This window comes from Homo sapiens, chromosome 21 (genome assembly GCF_000001405.40).
Source record: "Homo sapiens chromosome 21, GRCh38.p14 Primary Assembly".
In the NCBI taxonomy this organism is placed as follows: Eukaryota; Metazoa; Chordata; class Mammalia; order Primates; family Hominidae; genus Homo; species Homo sapiens.
In genome coordinates this window covers 7,813,191-7,834,708 of record NC_000021.9, presented here as the reverse complement: position 1 = coordinate 7,834,708, position 21,518 = coordinate 7,813,191, and the positions used below count along the sequence as shown (strand labels likewise).

Genomic DNA, 21,518 nt, shown 5'->3' with positions numbered 1-21,518 from the left:
AGCCAGGTAAGGGGCTTTGCGGAAAATAGGTCCTGGAACAGAGTAACAAACCCTACACCTACAGAACCAGGCAAGCCGTTCAGCACAGGAGCCTGCTGAGTGTCCTTGTGGAGGAGAATGTGGAGTAGCGGGGCCTGTGGTAAACTCTGGTTTGCATTTTGTGTAGGAAACAGACAGCATCAGCATCAGTTTCTGCCAGTTGGCTACTCTGCCACAAGTGGGCATGATGTTTCTAGATCCCCTGAATTTTGTTGAAGATGAGAGCTCTCAATTTTTAAATCTTAAAAGTGAATTCAAAATTAAACAAATAGACCCTATGCTTAGAGGCTCAGAGCTGGTCAGGGTGCCCATTGTCATACCTTTGCTGGGGATCTGAGATTTGAAAAAGTCCTGGATCCCGTTCAGTGGCAGGCATCAGCCTGTGCTGTGTAAAGCTGGAAACAGAGGCTAGACCCGTGAAGAAGTGTCTAGAAGGGGGAAAGGTGAGTCATGTACAGTGAATGGAGGCACCTTGGCTGCTGGTCTAGAAGCTCTGTTAGAGGGGCAAGTAGTGGGGAATGAAGTCGGTGAGCTGGAACATCCTGCAGGGCTCCAAACAGGTTGTGGCTGGTTTCTTTTTGGAACCAGAGCAATCCTCTAGGAAGTCTTAGGAGAATGCCAGGAGGCCACACACAGCGCTTGGGAGGGATGCTTCTCATGTATAGCACTTATTCCCAGGCAAAGAGAGTCCTGGGAGGAAACTGACACAGGCTACCTGTGACCAAGCAAATCAGACAGGGAAATGTTGGTCAAAGAAGGAGGACAGAAGAGACTGGGGAGCAACAAATGGCTCTCAGAAGACATGAATGTGTTAAGCCACCCATGTGGGATGGGGATCAACCTGTGGACAGCACCGGCAGGGGCGGGTGTTGACACACCAGATGGTTGGGTGGGGTCTCTTTCAGCATTCTGTTCCCCATCACCTGTCACTGGCGGGGGCAGGATAGGGACTTCAGGACCCCTGGACCCCTTAGACTTTCTCATGGGGGGGAAATAGTATGCTTTTAGCATACAGCAACACTCCGTTTGTGCTCTGCTGCTGCTAAAGAAAGATTGTTTGCCTTTAGGGGTGTGTCTTGCTGAAGATCCAGAAGCCCCAGGGCAATGAGAGTTGTCCCTGAGGATAGTAGAAACCACAGGGTAAAGGAGTGAAAAAGCAACAAAGGGCAGGGCACAATGGCTCACGCCTGTAATCCCAAAACTTTGGGAGGCCAAGGCAGGAGGATCACTGGAGGCCAGAAGTTCAAGACCAGCCTGAGACTCCCATCCCTACAAAAAGACTTTTTAAATTAGCCAAGGCATGGTGGTGTACAACTGTAGTTCCAGCTACTCACGAGGCTGAGCGGGGAGAATGTCTTGAGCCAGGAGTTCGAGGTTGCAATGAGCAATGGTCGCACCACTGCACTCCAGCCTGGGCAGCGGAGTTAGACCTTGTCTAAGAAAAAAAAAGGCAACAAAAGAGGGGCCAAAGGGCAAGGAATGCCCCCAGGCTAACACAGGGGCATCTGGACACCAACTGAAGGGCAGCCAGAGGGAAGAGTGAAGAACTGTCCACATGACCCTTCATCCTAGATGGGTTACACTGCAGATCTGTTCTTTCTGGTAACAGGCTGAGCCTTTCTTCTTCCACTATCCTGTGAGCAGAGTTAGGAACAAAAGCAGGACATTCAACTTTCAAGTTAAGACTTGAGATTTTCCTAAGAAAGGATGAGAAGTGGCTGGAGCTTTGGCTTTGATGTCACATGCAGTGAGGTGGGAGCTCATGGAAAATGAAGATAAACCCACTGAGAGGGGCAGGGAGCCATGCTCGCAACCCATCTAGCAAAAGGACCAAGAAAAAAAGAGGAGGGAAGAAAGAGAAATAGAGACAGAAGTGACCCAAGGACTATATGGGCTATCATTCTGTTATCATCATTATTTCAAGATCAATCATACCTATAAAATGGAGAGAGGCAAGAATGAAAGAGTGAAGAGAGAAGGAAGAAGAAGAAAACAGGAAAAAAAAAAGAGGAAACCATTTCAAGTGCATCAAGGATAACAAAATACACTCTTTCTCATCTGTAATCATGTCTTTTCATTTCAAATAGAAAATAACAACTACAGCATCATCATAATAAAATAATTCATCATATGTGGGATAGAGAGGAAGAGGAGACATAAGAACAGCATCACTTACATAAGCCTTTAGTTTCTGACAGTGCTTCCATTTATACTGTCTTCACCATAACCAGCTGACAGATGGGTAGGCATTGTTCCACACTCTGATGAGAATAATGCTCCCTCCAGCTGATCTGGGCTGCTCCACACATGTTTACCTGGTCTATGAATTGTTACTAAAAGGGTTACACATCAATGTTTGGTGGGACAAACATTTTGCTTCAATCCATTATCCATTTGGAGATGTAGGCAGGAGGATCCTGCATATGTACAGCATGACCTTGAGGAGAAGAATCCAGGGAATTTTCAGATAAAGTTTATGTAATTTTCCTTAAATATTAAAGTACATAGAGTTTGATATGGTTTGGCTGTGTCCCCACCCAAATCTCATCTTGAATTGTAATCCAAATTGTAATCCCCACATGTTGCAGGAGGGACTTTGTGGGAAGTGATTGGATCATGGAGGCGGTTCTTCCATGCTGTTTTCATGATAATGAGTGAGTTCTCACGAGATCTGATGGTTTTATACGGGGCTTTTCCTTCCACTTTGCTCTGCACTTCTCTCTCCTGCTGCCATGTAAAGAAGGACATGTTTGCTTCCCCTTCGGCCATGATTGTAAGTTCCTGAGGCCTCAGCCATGCTGAACTGTGAATCAATTAAGACTTTTTCCTTTATAAATTACCCAGTTTCAGGCAGTTCTTTATAACAGTGTGAGAACAGACTAATACAGAGTTGTTGCAAAACAAAAAAGGAAGGAAAACATGAAGTAGCATAAATAAGATAATAAATCTCCAATAGGCCTACCACTAATAGACAATGTTAACATGGTGGTTGGTGTGCTTCCTTATAGATTTTGGGAATAATGCCTGGCATCTCATATTTACAATTTAAGGCCTTGAGTTTTGTGGGGTTTTTGTTTTGTTTTCTGTTTTTGTATTTTTCACGTAACATGATAATATAAAGATCTCCCCTGTTGGGTTTTTGTTTGTTTGTTTGTTTTGAGTCAGAGCTTCACTCTTGTCGCCCAGGCTGGAGTGCAGTGGCGTGACCTTGGCTCACTGCAACCTCCGCCTCCTGGGTTCAAGTGAATCTCTTGCCTCAGACTCCCAAGTAGCTGGGATTACAGGTGCCCACCACCACGCCCAGCTAAATTTTTGTGTTTTTAGTAGAGACAGGTTTCACCATGTTGGCCAGGCTGGTCTTGAACTCCTAACCTCAGGTGACCCACCCACCTTGGCCTCCCAAAGTGCTGGAATTACAGGTGTAAGCCACTGTGCCCGGCCCCATGTTGTTATAAATTATTTGTAAACATTTTAAGGACTCCACATAATATTCTACTATGTAGAATAATATCATATGTACTACAATTTAATTACCTATATTTTCTATTTTTGGATGTTTAGATTCTAGTTATTGCAAGTAAAAACACAAAGAACTTTTACATGCATAAGGATTTTTCTACAGCTCTGATCCTTTCCATAGAATAAATAGATTTCAGTCTGGGCACGCTGACTCACACCTGTAATCCCAGCACTTTGGGAGGCCGAGGCGGGTGGATCACCTGAAGTCAGGAGTTCGAGACCAGCCTGGCCAACATGGCGAAACTCCGTCTCTACTAAAAATAACAAAAAATCAGCAGGGTATGGTGGCCGGTGCCTGTAATCCCAGCAACTCGGGAGGCTGAGGCAGGAGAATCGCTTGAACCAGGGAGGTGGAGGTTGCAGTGAGCCGAGATCGTGCCATTGCACTCCAGCCGGGGCGACAGGGTGAGACTCCGTCTCAGAAAAAAAAGAAAAAAAAAAAAAGAATAAATAGATTTCACACAGTGCAATTTCATGTCATAGGCTATGAACATTTCAGGACTTTCCAACGTGGCCATGTGGGTTCATTTTGCACCCACACTGTAGGGCAATGCTGGTTCTGCCTGGTGCACAGGACACATCGGTGCACCCCTTGGAGGGCCTCCAATCACCCTCGTCCCCATGAGAACACCGAGGTCGAAGCCCAGGAAGAAGTGACCTGCCAAGGAAGACCATGGAGGCAGTGACCCTAGAGAATGTCTTCTAGTCCTAGGTCAGGAACCTGCCTCTGCGACCCGCCTGCAGAGCAGGAGCCTGGAGCCTGGACGTCATTCCCTAGAAGGTTCATGGGATTGTCTTTTGGGGACTGCCCCTTCTCCTCTTGCCTGCCAAGCTGGTGAGCAACGCTATGAAATTTGCTGGGAAGTCACCTGCATCATTGCATGGTTTGCTCTCTGGACAAGGACGGCTCGGGCTGAAAGGCCCCAAGGACGTTAGGGTGTGCTCGCCAAGGCTCGGGTGCCTCCAGCGACTGTCTGCCGCTCCGGGCCCCCTCCTGTCTGGTCCACAGCTGCACCCCCAGCTCAGGGCTGCACACCCAGTAAGTGGGTGCTTCATAAATGTTTGCCTAATAGGTGTGTGGCCACAGCTGGGGTGCGGGACGAGGCTAGAAAGAGTCGTCGGGAGCGGAGGTTGAGCGGTCTTTGGAGGATTATGTTCAGAGATATTTGAAGGCCCGCACGTCCGAGGGTGGGGTGGTTCCCAGACGGCCTTTCTCCTGGCTGCAGTGGCTTCCCCCCTGGCAACCTCAAACTCCCGCAGGAAGGTAGGTAGATCTGTCCGTTGGTCGGCTTTCTCGATCCTAATGCAAACCTTCTGCCGGCCTTGAGCCTCTCCGACAGGATCTAAAACGCTTCCCTACGCGCGTTGGTGTTGGTCTGGGGTGCAGAGTGTGGAGGACCCGGGGGGGCCGGGGCTGGTCTGGGGTGGTCCCGGGGAACCCTGGGCTGGGCCGTGCGTGTGGGCGGAGTGGGGCGGGACGCCTGGCGGCTCTGGGAGGCCCCGCCCGCCCCCATCCCTGTGCAGCGCTCAGGCCCTTAGAAGGTGCCGCCCCGGGGCGGGGCTGTCTGTGGCCTCAGCGCTCGGCAGGCGCGCACTCAGCTCCACACCCGGCTCTCTCGGCATCTCAGACCCGGGTAAGTTAGGGTCTCCCACCTCCGCGGCCCTCTTCCGGGGCGCAAGTGGCCTAGTCGGGCAACCCCGGGGGGCTCCTGGAACCTGCGTCTCCGGACGCGCAGCGGGCGCGCTTCAGGCTGGAAGCGCCGAGACCCCCAGAGTGGGAGACGGGATAGGATGATCAGCCTCTCCCCTCCTTTCCTTCTGCCATTCTCACTTACTTATACAACAAACGCATAGGAAAGCATCTCACCAACACAGAACAACGAAAACATTCCTCCATTATTAAGTTATAGACATTCTTGTATAGTATTTGGAAAACACTTACATGCAACTTTCAAAAGAAAAGAAAATCAAAACCACTCACGGGACCTGAGTCCCCACTTTTTTTCAAAGACCTTCAGCTTTTTGGGGGGACCAGCTCTTGGGCCTTGGCATCTCCCTGAGGAAAGGGCATGGGACGCGGAGAATATTACTGATATCTGATCTTGATTGTGGTAATGGGAAAAGTGGGAAACTTTAGAAGAAAGTTGACTAAGTAGCAGAGACGTGCGCATGTGCCCAATCTATTGCATAATGCTTTGCCCCCCGGATTTGTCACATTGCTCTATGTGAATTGACAGTTCATTTGAGTCCACATTTAGATTAAGAAGGAGGTTCCAGCTCCATTAAGGAAGGACCTTGTCAATAACCATAGCTGTCATGTATGGTCCAGGTGGTGGGGACTTTGCTGAGTTCACACAGTTGCTTAAATTCAGCCGTGACTCTGATTTCCAATCACCAGGAAAAATCCCTCTGCTTTCTCTGGCCAGTTTCACACAATCATCAGGTGAGCCGAGGATCCATTGGAGGAAGGCATTATCTGTATCCAGAGGAAATAGCCAAGGATATTCAGGTAGGACCTGCTTTTGATAGGTTATTGGAAAATGATTTGTTTTGAAAATAAAGCTCACTTAGAAGACATCAGAGGGACTCATTGCTGTCGTCTTAAATCTCTGAGGGTGAGACAGCTCCTGTGTGGTTTCGCTCTTTCTGGTAGTTGAAAGGAACACTTATTATTCATGCGTTCACGCATGCCTGCCTGCATTCGCTGAATGTTTATTGCACTCCTGCCATATGCCACACACTGTTCTAGTGGCCTGGGATGCAATGAAGAACAACCCATGCAAAGATCCCTGCCCGCAATAGCTTACATTTTGGTGGGAAAGACAAACGTTGAACAATCAACATCACAGTTAAGAAAACTTTATTATATTAGAAGGTGATAAGGACTCTGGGAAAGCGGGAGGAAAAAAAGGTTAAGAGTTTGTGCTCTACTATTAATAGTCACTGACTGCCAAAATTTTTTTTTAGAAATAAGGTGGGTTACACACACACACACGCGCACACACACACACATATATATATAGAGTAAATCTTAATAAACAAAATGAATAACAAAAATATGTTAATAATATAAATATAAATAAATAATATAAAATTTAATATATAAAAACATACTACATTGCAAGAGGTTTTCCTCTGATTACTCAATAATCTATTTCCAGAGCATAGTATACTTTATCAATTATTCACTCACTTTCCCATTGTAGTGGTATTGAATCTAATACTTTGCTTCCCACTTAATTCAGGAAAACCTTATTGAAACATTCTGGGTGCTGGAGTGGGGACAAAGGTGAGCAAGATGGTCTCTGTCCTTTGGGACCTCCTGGGAGAAAATGCCCAGATAAGTCTACAAATGATTAGAAGTTAGAATATGACCAGCACTGTAGGAAAGATATATACAAGGGGTCAAAGAAGGGGAGAGGATTCTGGATCAGGGTCAGACACAGTGTGGATATGAGCTGGCATTTGAAGGGCCAGTAGGATTTTAACAAGGGAATATGGTGGGAATGCCTCACCTACAGCGAGAACAGCAAACATAAAACAAGAGGCCAGGCACGGTGGCTCACGCCTGTAATCCTAGCACTTTGGGAGGCCAAGGCAGGTGGATCGCTTCAGCCCAGGCATGTTGAGCCTGGGCAACATGGTGAAACCCCGTCTCTACTAAAAATACAAAAATTAACCAGGCATAGTGGCATGCACCTGTAAACCCAACTACTTAGGAGGCTGAGGCAGGAGAATCACTTGAACCCAGGAGGCGGAGGAGGTTGTAGTAAGTCAAGATCGCGCCACTGCACTCCAGCCTGAGTGACAGAGCGAGGCTTGGTCTCTAAAATAAAATAAAATAAAGCAAGAGCTAGGAAGGCTGGGGGCTGATTCCATGCTGCACAAAGACCTGGGATATATACTCAGGGTAGATTCCATCATTCTCACTGTTCAGGTGAGGAAACTGAGGCTCCCCAGATTTATGTCATTTGCTGAAGATGAGAGTCCTTCCTTCCCTCCTGATGTGTGACTTCAGCTGTCATTCATTATCCATCCCCAAACGCCCACCCATGTTTTCATATTGAGTTTGATGGAGTCTCCTCACCAGCTCGCTGGCCTGACTCTCTGAGTATTCAGTGTTTATATTTCCATCCTTCACACCCCAGACTCTCTCTCCATCACCCATAGAGAGGTCTGGGAAGCTCCTGGTAAAAGCACCAGACTCAAGCCACACCCCACATCCCCCTGGGAGGTGGCAGGAAACACTTTCCTAATCAGAGAGGACAGTCTGATTCTGGGCCTCTGGACGGTTGCATTCTGATTCCTTGAGCGACCCTGGCCACCTTAGTACCCACTGACTCTGGGGATAGGGGAAGGATAGAAGACCAGACAAAGCCAGCCAAGTGTCGGGAAGCATCTGGTGGCCCTGGGTGGCTTCTTTTCTGCTAGGAGGGAAACATGTTTCCAAAATTTGGACATAGTGTTGTGATAAAGATGAAAACAATAGACAGTTGGTTCCAAGGACAATTGACTCAGAATTCTTGTCTCAATAAGATCATATTCACCAAAATGAGGCTTATCCATCATTGCTTTTACCCTAATTCTGCTTCTTAAACCAAATGAGGCCAAATGATGATGTTAAGACTGGATGCTCTTTCGAAGAAATGCATAAGGAGTCCTGTCGAGCGTGATAAAAAAACCCAGAGTCAACCTAGGGAAGTAAGTTAAGGAGCCCTCTAGTTTATCTAGGATTGACCTGGGGCTGGAACCCAGATTCCTGAGCTCTGACTCCGACATTCCTGTCTCCTCTACTCACCCCTAGAATCTATTCCTTTTAGAAGAAAGCTTGGAGTCAGCCACAAGAACCTTACCCAGTCACTAAAGGCTTAAGAAAGAATGATCAGGAACTGGGGGAATTTGCTAATAATAACAAAAGAATGAGAGGGGTGCACTCAGGGCAGGGGGCTTGAAGAACGGCTCCTCTGTTTACGACACACTCAACAGGGGTGTGAGGTCACAGTGATGAGAGGCCCAAACTTGTGGCCTCCCCGTGAACAAATGCCCTACACATCTCCCCTGCAGGATCAATGGGACAGGGCTCAATATTGGGAGGAAGGCTGTAGTATTTACTTGGCAAGCCTGCTGTCTACAGCCTGCCCAGTTTATGCACGGGTAGGCCACAGTTGGTCTTAGAAATAAAGGCTTTGGAAAATTAAAAAAAAGAAAGAATGAGAGTTTCCCATGCTGGGAAAGCTTCTGTTCTGAAAGCTTCCAGGCTGTTATCAGTGCTGATAGGCGACACAGCCGGAGCACGTGGGAGAAGTCAGAAGAGGTGGTGTGTGCCCAGAGCAGCGAGGCGCCACCCACTGCCCTCTTCTCCCCTGGGTTCAGCTGGGGGCCTTACGGAACTCCAGGGTGCTGGAGGCCCCGTTGGTCTCCATTTGCAGGTGTCTCGCTCAGCGCAGCTGCCCAGAGCCCTGTGTCCTGAGTGATTTCCAGTAGATTAGCAGCTCTGGGTCTAAGCTTTTAAGAAAAAAAAAAAATTGCACTACCCTTCAGTAGGGGCAGCATTCACATCTCACACCCAGGCAGAAGCAGAAACGGCCAGGAATCCACCCCACTTTCTGGGCCTGACAAGGCCACAGTTTGAGAACGTTCAGCACAGGCCAAGCATCAGATGGATTTTGAACATCTCTGGCTCCTACCATTTCTGCCTCCACCATCCCTTTACTCACTGTGCAAGCTACAAAAGCTGAGGGGACAGGAACAAGGATGATTTCTGATGGCATATTTAGGTAAGAAGCCAACCCCCATGTGCATGGATCCAATGCTATCTGATAAAAGTGGCCTATTCCTCAGCTGTTTTGAGCCTGCTTCCTCTGTACAAGGTCCTGGGAATTGCTCTTTTCTATACTAATAATATGTGAGTCAATTGCTAACAGATGACATTTTAGATATATTTTTGGTTGGTTGTTTTTGTTTCTTTTTTTTTTTTTTTAAGTTCCAGGGAACATGTGCAGGATGTGCAGGTTTGTTACAGACATAAATATGTGCCATGATGGTTTGCGGCACCTGTCAACCCATCATCTAGGTGTTAAGCCCAGCGTGCATTAGCTCTTTTCCCTAATGCTCTTCCCCACCCACCTTTCCCCGACAAGCCCCAGTGTGTGTTGTTCCCCTCCCTGTGTCCATGTGTTCTCACTGTTCAGCTCCCACTTATAAGTGAGAATATGCGGTGTTTGGTTTTCTGCTCCTGCGTTAGTTTGCTGAGGATATGTACTTCTGATAGGAGAGATTACTTTTGGCAAGCCATCTCATCTCTAAGGAGCCCCGTTTTCTGAAAATTCAGATTGTTGGATCAGTTGCTCTCCCACTCTGTTTGAGTCCAACTGTCTGAAAGTGCAGCCACGGGGCATGTGGGTGCTTTGGCATCACGTATCATAGAAATGAACCTAGAGAATCTGATATAAAATCCCAAATGACATGCAGATCCAGACTGTCATTTACACCATGCTGACTATTACGGAGACATTGCCAAACTCATTTTGAGACTCGTTACACAAAAATACCATGGCGACCCAGCCTAGCAGGCATTGGGGGTGTGGAGGACATTTAGCAAAAGCAATGCAATAAATTACATGTGAAGTTTTAAAAAAATTCTTTAAAAATATAGGGTTGTCATTTGAAAGGCAGTTAATTAGCCGGACTTAAGCTCTGACAGGAGAATTGTAATTGAAGGCACCAGCGTGTGTGAGACTGGGGACAGCTGAGGTTACACTGAAGACTGGAGAGTTTCTTTCTGCAATTTCTTTTCAGACTGTATCAGAGGCAAACAAGGCCAAAAAAGAAAATGTAAAAAACAAACAAGATTTGAAAAACAGTCAGTGAGATCATATTTCTATATTTTTGCAAAATTCTTCCAGGTACCCTGCAGCACAAAAGGCCATTGGTCATTTTCCTAGGGTCCCACACCACAGCCCAGTGGTTCTCAATCTTGGCTACAAATTAGGATCATTTGGGAGGTTTCTAAAAAGTCTCTGAGTCAGGCAGGAACCCAGACCAAAGACATTAAAATCTCTAGGGGTGAGATCCAGGAACCATTATTTTCTAAAAGCTCCCCCGGTGATTCCAATAGATCACCAAGCAGGGCCTCCAGACCAGCAGTATTAGCACCACGTGGGAATGTGTTAGGAATGCAGATTCCCAGGCCTGCTCCAGTTCTACCAAATCAGAAACTCTGAAAATAGAGCCCAGCAATCTGCATTTTTTTTTGAGACAGAGTCTCGCTGTGTCACCCAGGCAGGAGTGCAATGGCACAATCTTGGCTCACTGCAACCTCCACCTCCTGGGTTCAAGTGATTCTCCTGCCTCAGCCTCCCAAATAGCTGGGAATACAGGTGCCCGCCACCACGCCTGTCTTATTTTTGTATTTTTAGTAGAGACGGGGTTTCAGTATGTTGGCCAGGCTGGTGTCAAACTCCTGACATCAAGTGATCCACCTGCTTTGGCCTCCCAAAGTGCTGGGATTACAGGAGCAATCTGCATTTTAACAAGGTCATTCTAAAGCATTCTAAAGAACAAGGCTGAGGATGGTTTGGGCTTGGGAGGTTTTCAAAGCAGATGTTTTTGGTTGCTTCTTTGGACATAAGAAAGTCCATCTGGATCTAAGTAACAAGCCTTCTCAGTGAACTCACTATTATGAATTAATTGCAGATGTAACTCTTAATTTGCTGTATGGATTTATCAGTTTTAAACCAATTAACTTGTGGATCTTCAAATGTCGCCTGCCATAATTCTACCCTCACATGGTCATGAAGTTGGAAAGACTCTCTAACAGTGATTGGTGGCAGAATTATTTGCCAATTGTGATCATTCTGGGTTTTTGGAAATTACATCATAGTATCAGGTCCAGGTCTGTCTGTTTTCTGGGGCAGGGTTTTATGCATTCATAAGTGGTTTCGGGTCATTTAAAAAGAAATGGTTGAGCGTTGAGTTTGGATCTGTTACCAAACAATTCCTGCCTACCCCGATGGTTAGAATGGGGCTAAATGCTAGTTTTGTACAAGAACAAGGACCTGAATCTCTTGAGCCCAGGCAGCTTAACCCCTGACAGATCTCTGCACAGACTCAAAAGCCTAGAAACCAGGAAAGGCCACAAACAATCTTTGATTCTCATTCATGTCTGATCTCTCCACAACGTAGAGAAGACAGCCGCCATGGTCAGCCACAGGAAAGCCAAGCCTAAACCCCCAAAGCCCCAAATCCTTGGGCAGCAATTTCTTAATGAGGTAGAAAAACCAATAAACTCCTACCCAGGACCACTGAGTGTGCACCTGCCATGTGCCACATGCTGTCAGCCACTCTACACACCTGCTCAGGGATTCAACAGCCCGCAAATGTCAGTGGTGTTTCTCGCTACTTTGGAAAGAAAAAAAAAAAAAACTTGACTGAACAATTCTAAGGAAACTGTCCAGGATCATGTGGCCAGGAAGTAGCAAAGCTAGAATCCAAACCTGTGGCGGCAGTGGAATCCCAAAATCTGAGCTCTTTCTGCTCCTCACTCCTGCCTTCTGAGACTGTGGTTCAGGGTGGGAGATGACTGCCCTTCTGGAAAAGGGAGTCAGTTAGAGCTTCGGAGACAGCTCATTGGCATCTGTTCATTGGAGTAAGCAGGTTATAAAGAGTCAAGCCCCACTGGTCAAAAGGTATTAAGTTCTGGTGGCATCTATTCGATAAACATTCATGGGCAGCTCCTGTGTGGTTGCGTGCCCAGCACCAGGCTGGATGGCAGGGCAGGGATGGGATAAGGGGCCTGGAGATCCTGACCATGATGAGGTTAGCAGGGGTCATGGTGTGCACAGTGCTGATCCAGCCCCATGTATCAGAGCAGGCTTCGGGAAGGAGGTGAGAGCTGGGCTGAATTTTAAGCATGAGTAGGCATTGCTGAGAAGTTTCATGGGCCAAGAAGAAGGCGCAGTCTGAGCTGGAGACGCACAATGTGTAGAGGCTCTGGGGCCAGCAGGGACCATGGAGCATAGGGTCTGGGCACAGTGGCAACAGTGGAATTGGAGAGGGATGCATAGACTCTCAAATTTAGGGCCTGTATCCATGCAGAAGACCAGGAGTTTCACCCTGAAGGCAGGGAGGAGCCAAGGAAGGCCTTCAAGATGGGAACTGCCATGATGAGATTGCAGTCATCAGTGAGAGTGATGCAGATTTTGGAGTGAGTGGTGTTGCCACTCAGCTCAGTGAGGCAGGGGCCAGTCTCTGACAGGACAGGGTGGAGTGTTAACTTTAAGGAGCCTGGGGATGGCCAAAGGGAACCATCTCCTTAGCAGGTCACTGGACGCATGGCTCTGGAGCTTAAAGAGAGCCCTGGGTCATGGCCATGCAGGTGAGCCTGGAGCAGGTGCAGTCACCCTGGGAGAGAGGAGAGTAGGAAGAGAAGAGAGCAGGTAACAGAACTCTGAGACACAGCCACAGTTCAGAGATGGGTAGAGGAAGAGGGGCCTCGGAAAGGTGCCAGATGTCTTCAGCTGGTGCTGGGTTCAGGGTATGTTTTACAATTAAACCAATTCAATGAAGAAATAGCTCTGGGTCTAAGCTGGAGAGGAGCTAGGTTTCTGAGGTTATTTGTCCTACACAAGATGATGTGCAATGTCACAGTCCCCATCCTGGCTGGGAAAGACAGCGCCGTCCTGGCAAGTGTTGGAATTTGTCTTTCCATAGCGATTCTGGCCATAAACTGTCTTCCCAAATACATCCTTCACCTGTAGTTACAACAGTCCCCCCGAGGCCATGTTCTACTCCAGGCCATGTTCTACTCAGCTACTTTAAGCTCCTAAGAAGTGAGCAGGGGACAAGCAGGGTGGCTCATGCCTGTAATCCCAGCAATTTGGGGGGCCGAGGTGGGCGGATCCTGTAAGCCCAGGAGTTCAAGACCAGCCTCGGCAACATAGGGCAACCTCACCTCTGCAAAAAATACGAAAATTAGCCAGTCATGGTGGTGCATACCTATAGTCCCATCTACTCTGGAGGGTAGGGTAGGAGGATCACCTGAGTCCAGGAGGTTGAGGCTGCAGTGAGCCAAGATTGTGCCACTGTACTCCAGCCTGAGTGACAAGAGTGAGACCCTGTCTCAATAAAACAGAAAAAGAAAGAACTGAGTGGGAGCACTTACGTGTGATAAGCTCCCAGTGGCCCCCTCTGGCTTGAGTTTGGAATGTGACATCAACAACTTGGCCTCGGAGCTTTTGTTTCCCAGCAGGAACTGGGGGTAGAGGCTGGCATTTGCTCAAACCTAAATAAATAAATAAATAAATAAATAAAAACAAGACCTGTTTTTTTTCAGCTTACCAATGATCTCAAGGTCACCTAGATGGGGTTTCCACAGCAAACCAAACCCCTGACAGAATCTTACAGCTACTTGGAGACAATTTTTCCAATTCCCAGGCCCACTCTGAGTATACAGGGACAGTGATATCAAGATTAAACGATAGGGAAAATGTCACTTTCTGCATAGCCAGAGAGTAGTGAATGGAAATAAAAGGCAATCCATGTACCATTGCTCAATCAAGAGAGGGCATTGTGTAGACCCAAGACGGCACATACCATGGACTAGGGAGCATGTGAGCTCACCCCTCTCACCTGAGGTTTTAAGATTGTGTACGTGTGTGTGCCTGTGTGTGGGCAGGGAGGGAAAAACATAGCACAAGCTACAGCACTGGCCTCTTCGAGGGGAGCTCTCTGTGAAATCTCCCTAGACATTCTGAAGTCCACCACGTGACAGCATAGATTTTTCATTCAGATGAATGTAACTGTTCATAGAGAGATGCTCTGTGGTGAAACAGACCACCAATTGCACGTTGCTTCCAAGGGCAACCAGTCTGACTAGTCTTGCATAAGCCGCCAGGAACTAGTTGTATGAGATGCGTGATTTTTTTTAGGTCCATAGGAGGTCAAGGATGGGGATATTTGTCTCCCCCTTGTTTATGGAGTCAGCAGCCACAGCAGTGTCCATCTCTGGGGGAGAAGGCAGAGAAAAGAAGTGGGTGTTCACCATGGGTTGTATACAAACATTGGAAGCAAGGGAATGCACACACCCAGCACCACAAGTGAGCCACAAAAGCACAGTCATGAGGAAAAAGAAGGAGACTGAATGAGTTGGATGACCTGATACCATTTAGGTAAACCAAAATGCACACATGCGACCCCATACGCCACAATATGCAGCAATGCATATTAAAGAAGCTCATTCTGATGGTCACCTATAGGGGTGGAGATTGGAGTGGTGGATGGAAATAGAAGGGAATCAATGTATCCATTCATCTATCAAGAGAAGGCATTGCACAGACCCAAGATGGCACACGCCATGGCCTGTGGAGTGTCAGCTCACCCCTCTCACCTGAGATTTTAAAATTGTATACGTGTGTGTGCGTACGTGTGGGTTTTGGCCAATACGTACTTTTTGATTTGGGGTTGCATTTTTCCTTTAAGAGGTGTGCCTGGGAAGTTTGAGCTGCAGCAGTGGAACCTTAATGCCCAGGATGATCCTGTCTAACACCACAGCGGTGACGCCCTTTCTGACCAAGCTGTGGCAGGAGACAGTTCAGCAGGGTGGCAACATGTCGGGCCTGGCCCGCAGGTCCCCCCGCAGCGGTGACGGCAAGCTGGAGGCCCTCTACGTCCTCATGGTACTGGGATTCTTCGGCTTCTTCACCCTGGGCATCATGCTGAGCTACATCCGCTCCAAGAAGCTGGAGCACTCGAACGACCCATTCAACGTCTACATCGAGTCCAATGCCTGGCAAGAGAAGGACAAGGCCTATGTCCAGGCCCGGGTCCTGGAGAGCTACAGGTCGTGCTATGTCGTTGAAAACCATCTGGCCATAGAACAACCCAACACACACCTTCCTGAGACGAAGCCTTCCCCATGAACCCCACCACTGGCTAAAACTGGACACATCCTGCCTGGCAACCTGATTTTCTAATCACATTCCTCTCATACTCTTTATTGTGATGGATACCACTGGATTTCTTTTTGGCTGTTGTAAGGGGTGGGGGGTGGATTAATGACACTGTTTCACTGTTTCTCTAAAATCACGTTCTTTTGTGATAGACTGTCAGTGGTTCCCCCATATCTGTCCCTGCCTTGCTAAATTTAGCAGAATCCCTGAGGACATGGCCTCTGAGAATAGCAGCTGCATTTCCCAGACTCCCTTGCAGCTAGCAAGGTTGTGTGACTAAGCCCTGGCCAGTAGGCATGGAAGTGAAGACTGTAATGTCCAAGTAATCCTTGGAAAGAAAAGAACGTGCCCTTAACTAACTTTGTCCTGCTTCCCAGTGGCTGGATGTGGAGGAGGTGGAGAGCAGTTATGAGACTGGGAAAGAATGGGGCACTCAAAGAGCCACACACATCTGGGCCTGGGCGACGTGGATCCTCCTTACCACCCACCAGGCCAGATTTACAGGAGAGAGAAATCCACTCCACTCTTCCTTAAGCCACTGTTATTCTGATCTCTGTTAAGGTCGCAGAATCAATGCCCTTACTGATACACCTACCTTATAGGACTGAACCTAAAGGCATGACATTTCCATACTTGTCACAAGCACACACTGATTCTGCCCTTGTCACTTCTGTGCTCACTCTTGTGGCTCTATCCTCCTCCTGCCCTTCCGCCTTCCACTCCTCCCTTGCACCCATCCTGCACACATCTCCCTGAAAACACACAGGCACATACACTCATATACATAGACACACATACACACCTCAATCTAGAAAGAACTTGCTTTGTACAGGGCTGAGATGGAGGAGAAAAAAATGCCCCCTTCAGAATGCATACCAAGGGGAAGGTGCTCGGTCACTGTGGGAGCAGGGAAAGGTGCCCCCACTCCCCGAGAGCCAGGGGAAGGAGTGGCTCTGGGCAGAGAGGGACACATAGCACTGGGGTGGCAGGTCCTTTTGAGGTGATGGGCCGGTTTTGTGAGATGAATTGTATCCCCCAAAAAGACAGGTACCTTCAATGTGACCTAATTGGGAAATAGAGTCTTTGCAGATGATCTAGTTGAGATGAGGTCATTGGGGTGGGCCCTCACCCAATATGACTGGAGTCCTTATCGGAAGAGGGAAATTCAGACACAGATGCATAGGGAGGGCACCATGCCGTGACAGAGGCAGAGGGTGCAGTGACACAGCCACAAACCAAGGAAGGCCGAGGATGGATGCGCATCCCCATCCCAAGAAGTCGGGAAGAAGCCAGGAAGGCTCCTCTCCCACAGGTTTCAGAGGAAGCACAGCCCTGCTTGAATTCAAACTTTTGGCCTCCAGAACTGTGAGTCAGTACCTGTTGTTGAAGCCACCCAGCTTAGGATACTCTGGCAGCCTACTGCCATACAGTATTGGGATACTATAGTGAGCCCATGCAGCACCTCTCACCCACCCAGAGATGGAGCTGCTCTGCCTTCCAGCGGGGCACCCGGAGGGGCTGCCCCAGCAGATAGAGAGGGCCTCCGTTCTGCCACCTGCCTTGAAAGGGTCTCCAGCTGCCATATGTAGCATTGGAGTCCTCTGCAATGCGACATCCTGAAAGCTCAGCTGCCTGGGCATTCCTGAAGAGTATGGAATATTTAAATGAAACATATTTTTTTAAAACCTGCGCATAAGATAAAAGCAGCCCGTGTGCATCTTGGGCCATCCTCAAATGGACAGACTTGGTCTTGTGAGGTTCCAGTCCTTGTTTCACATAATAAACACTGGCATGGCTCAGCCCCTGAGTTACCACAGTCCTTGAGATGAGTGGTTCTTTGGGTTACAAAGTCCTCTGAAAGTCTAGTGAGAGCTGTGATCTTTGCCCCACCCGAATAATGCATATGGACACCACACCTTGCCTGCCGTGTCCAGGATTCATGACCAGTAGCAGCCCAGCTATGCCTGCCACGTCTCACGGCCCCTGTGTAAGCCAGACCCTTCTTAGGCAGTTGCATATTCCCAGACTGAGGCAGGGCAGGTTTGCAGAGAGAGACCCAGAGTGCACGTGACCCGCAGTGTGATCCCTGGCACGCACTGACTTTGATATTCCAGGCACACGGACTGGCTATTTATCACCACTTCTTTTTCCCCACTAAGATTCCTGTGCCTTTTAAGGCAGAGGGAGATCCCTATGGCGTTAGTCTTCCCAGGCCTTAAAGGGCCCTTGTCTTCACTCACAAACCTCTTATCTCTTCTTCTCCTTCCTCTACATTTTAAAGGGGGAGAGGGAAAAGTAACCGGGAGACAAATTGAGCCACATATTTTCAGACACTTGTTACCATATTTTAAAATCTGGCTTCACATACACAGAGTCTTTGCTATGCACCATGTACTGTTCTAAGCTTCTTAAAAATAGAATCTCAATTATTATTTTGCAGGCAATACTCTGTGCATTCATTAGCTAGGACAACAATGCATTTGCAGTAGTGAGATTTCGTTAAAAAATTAAAGCCATTTACTATGATCTGTGATGTGTGTTCTTAATATCACTATGATACTTCTAGAAGATGGTTATCAGTTCTTACAATGCTTTGATGAGGCAGCCCCACGGACTTGGGAATAAGGAAAGTAAGATTGCATGTGGATAATTAAACTCTGCCATCAACACACAGCGTGTCAGAACAGAGAGATGTGGGTCCCTCTGATGTCTGCAGATAGAAAGCAAGTGAAGCCCTAGGTGGAGACAATGGCGAACAGTGGCACCTCCTGCCTTGTAAAGGGGAGGCTGCTGTCAACTCCTCGCATTTGCAGCCAGCAGCGAATATGGGCACAGTCTAGACGGAGCAGGGAATGTGGACACCATCTAGACAGAGCAGGGAGTATGGGCACCGTCTGGATGGAGCAGGGAATGTGGGCACTGTCTAGACAGAGCAGGGAATGTGAGCACCGTCCAGACAGAGCAGGGAATGTGGGCACCGTCCGGACGGAGCAGGGAATGTGGGCACTGTCTAGACAGAGGAGGGAATGTGGGCACCGTCCAGATGGAGCAGGGAATGTGGGCACCATCTGGACAGAGCAGGGAATGTGGGCACCGTCCGGACGGAGCAGGGAATGTGGGCACCGTCCGGACGGAGCAGGGAATGTGGGCACCGTCCGGATGGAGCAGGGAATGTGGGCACCGTCCGGACGGAGCAGGGAATGTGGGCACCATCTAGACAGAGCAGGGAATGTGGGCACTGTCTGGACGGAGCAGGGAATGTGGGCACCATCTAGACACAGCAGGGAATGTGGGCACTGTCTGGACGGAGCAGGAAATGTGGGCACCGTCCAGACACAGCAGGGAATGTGGGCACCTTCCGGACGGAGGAGGGAATGTGGGCACTGTCCGGACAGATCAGGGAATGTGGGCACCGTCCAGACAGAGCAGGGAATGTGGGCACCGTCTGGACAGAGCAGGGAATGTGGGCACCATCCAGATGGAGCAGGGAATGTAGGCACTGTCTGGACAGATCAGGGTATGTCGGCACCATCTAGACAGAGCAGGGAATGTGGGCACCATCTAGACAGAGCAGGGAATGCGGGCACCATCGGATGAACTTCTAGGTATTGTTGGAGAAGCTGTGAACTCTTCTAATGTTTGCACATTGGCAACTAATTTACTTTTTAAAACTTGAGTGGGTCAAACGAAATATAACCCTGAGCTGGATTCTTCCCAGAGACCACTGATTAACTGCCTGTGCTTTACAGAAAAAGAATAGCTCCCAGGCAGGCCCATGCCACACCTGACAGAAGCATAAACAGACTCAGGGCTAGGGTGTGGTGGCTCACGCCTGTAATCCCAACACTTTGGGAGGCCTAGGCGGGTGGATCACCTGAGGTCAGGAGTTTGAGACCAGCCTGGCCAACATGGCGAAACCCCATTTCTACTAAAAGTACAAAAATTAGCTGGGTGTGGTGGTGGGTGCCTGTAATCCCAGCCACTTGGGAGCCTGAAGTGGGAGAATCGCTTGAACCCGGGAGGTGGAGGTTGCAGTGAGCCAAGAGTGTGCCACTGCACTCCAGCCTGGGCAACAGAGCAAGACTCCATTTCAAAAAAAAATAGAAAGAAGGAAAAAGAAAAAGAAAGAAAAGAAAGAAAGAAGAAAGAAGAAAGGAAGGAAGGAAGGAAGGAAAAGAGGAAAAGAAAGAAAAAAGAAAAGAAGAGAAGAGAAGAGAAAAGAAAAGAAAAGGAAAGAAAAGAGGAACTCTGCCCAGCCATGTTGGCAGGAACAGGCATGTCCTCGAGTGTGGTCCTGGGGCCAAGGGACCCAGAGGTCCCAGCCTCATGATGAAAGGCTGCATCAGGCTGTCCTCACCTGACACTGTGAGAACATCCCATTAATCTGATCCTCTCATTTAGATTCTGGATTCCATAATCTTTGCATCTCCAGGCCAGGCTGTGTGAGCACAGAATAATACATGTGGCTGTCTTGAGAGCGTGCCCTATCTAAAATCCACATCAGTGTATGACTTCTCTATGGGCGCAAATGAGATGTAAACACTAGATCAGGTGAGGAGAGATAAGTAAAGGATACCAGTGCTTGAAGACAAAAGAAATGGACATAAAGCTATGAATGGGTAGATAGGGGCTGGTACTTTTTTTTTTTTTTTTTGAGATAGGGTCTGGCTCTCTCACCCAGGCTGGAGTACAGTGGTGCAATCATAGCTCACTGCAGCCTCGCCCTCCCAGACTCAAGCCAGACTCCCACCCTCCCAGACTCAAGCTATCCTCCCACCTTGGCCTCCTGAGTAGCTGGGACTATAGACTCAAACCACCATGCCCAGGTAATTTTTTCTGGGGTCGGGATGGAGGGCTGAGTTTCACTCTGTTGCCCAGGCTGGAGTGCAGTGGTGTAATCTCGGCTCGCTGCAACCTCTGCCTCCCAGATTCAACCAATTCTGCTGTCTCAGCCTCCCGAGTAGCTGGGATTACAGGTGCCCACCGCCACACCCAGCTAATTTTTGTATTTTTAGTAGAAACGGGGTTTCACCATGCTGACCAGGCTGGTCTCGAACTCCTGTCCTCAGGTGATCCACCTGCCTTGGCCTCCCAAAGTTCTGGGATGACAGGCCTGAGCCACCATGAGTGGCGCCCAGCTAATTTTTAAATTTTTTGTAGAGATGGGGTCTCACTATGTTGCCCAGGCTGGTCTCCAATGTCTGGGCTCCAACGATCCTCTCACCTTGGCATCCCAAAGTGCTGGGGTTACAGGCATGAGCCACTGCACCCAGCTTCTGGTAAAGTCTTTGAGTAAACAGAATAATTGCATAAATAAAACAAATCTTAATACAAAAAATGAGTCAGGAGATTTAAAGCAATTGGCTCCTCAAGCACATTGGTCTGTCTATTTACCTGAGGTCAGTAAAGCAGTAGCCAAGTTATCACAGATATTCCCCCAAAATACTGGAATTTGTTGATCTGCAGGTGCAGTGGAAGGCAGTCTGGGTGCTGCTGCCCCCTGGTGGTCACTTTGAGGATATTGCTCAATGCACAGGGAACCCTGAGGACCGGGCAGCCAGGCAGGTGCCTGCTGGGGCTGGGTAAGGGGCTCTGAGTGCCTTTAGATGCCCCTGGGAGGCTACACTTCTATTCAGCCATCAAGTTCAGGGAGACGGGGCCCATCGTGGGCACGACTATGAAATGGGAGGATGGATGCTGAGAAAGAGAAGCATTCTTCTAGAAGTTCCTTGCAAGGTAGCTCCTCTGAACAAAGGCCCTGGAGTCACAGCTCTAAATCCCTGAGAAGTTGCTAGGACCCCCTTCTCACTTCCTTTGGGCAGGAACCTGTTTAGCTCCCTCCCCTATCCCAGGAATATTCAGCACCTGGAAAATAATCTCTCCCCCAGACCTAAGTCCCTTTTGGTTTCAGGCCTGTGATCACTCATGCTATGCATGGAGAAGAGATTCCACCTCCTAGGTATCCCTAGACTCAGATCTTTTTATCACCTTCTATTCACCCCATTCGTGAGG

The 21,518-nt window shown here is 48.4% G+C and overlaps 1 protein-coding gene and 1 non-coding gene across 4 annotated transcripts, besides 1 other annotated feature; both read left to right on the top strand.

Moving 5' to 3' along the window:
• Positions 1 to 21,518: part of a sequence alteration artifact (region identified as an assembly artifact by the Genome Reference Consortium. This region falsely duplicates sequence located at GRCh38 chr21:34374240-34495759) that runs on past both edges of the window.
• LOC102723475 (potassium voltage-gated channel subfamily E regulatory subunit 1B) lies at positions 5,077 to 18,032 on the top strand. Of its 3 annotated transcripts, none has more exons than NM_001369869.1 (3): positions 5,077 to 5,192; positions 5,985 to 6,067; positions 15,037 to 18,032. In NM_001369869.1, the coding sequence occupies exon 3, from the start codon at positions 15,078 to 15,080 to the stop codon at positions 15,474 to 15,476; it is 399 nt and encodes a 132-aa protein (NP_001356798.1). In that variant the 5' UTR covers positions 5,077 to 5,192; positions 5,985 to 6,067; positions 15,037 to 15,077; the 3' UTR covers positions 15,477 to 18,032. The 3 variants fall into 3 exon arrangements, with proteins under 3 accessions (NP_001356798.1, NP_001316994.1, XP_006724009.1); NM_001330065.1 differs by having other exon boundaries at positions 5,957 to 6,067; XM_006723946.3 differs by lacking the exons at positions 5,077 to 5,192; positions 5,985 to 6,067 and adding an exon at positions 7,403 to 9,335.
• On the top strand, positions 8,484 to 8,611 carry LOC124900474 (small nucleolar RNA SNORA11). The gene has a single exon (XR_007067947.1). It is a non-coding gene; the product is annotated as a small nucleolar RNA SNORA11 (small nucleolar RNA).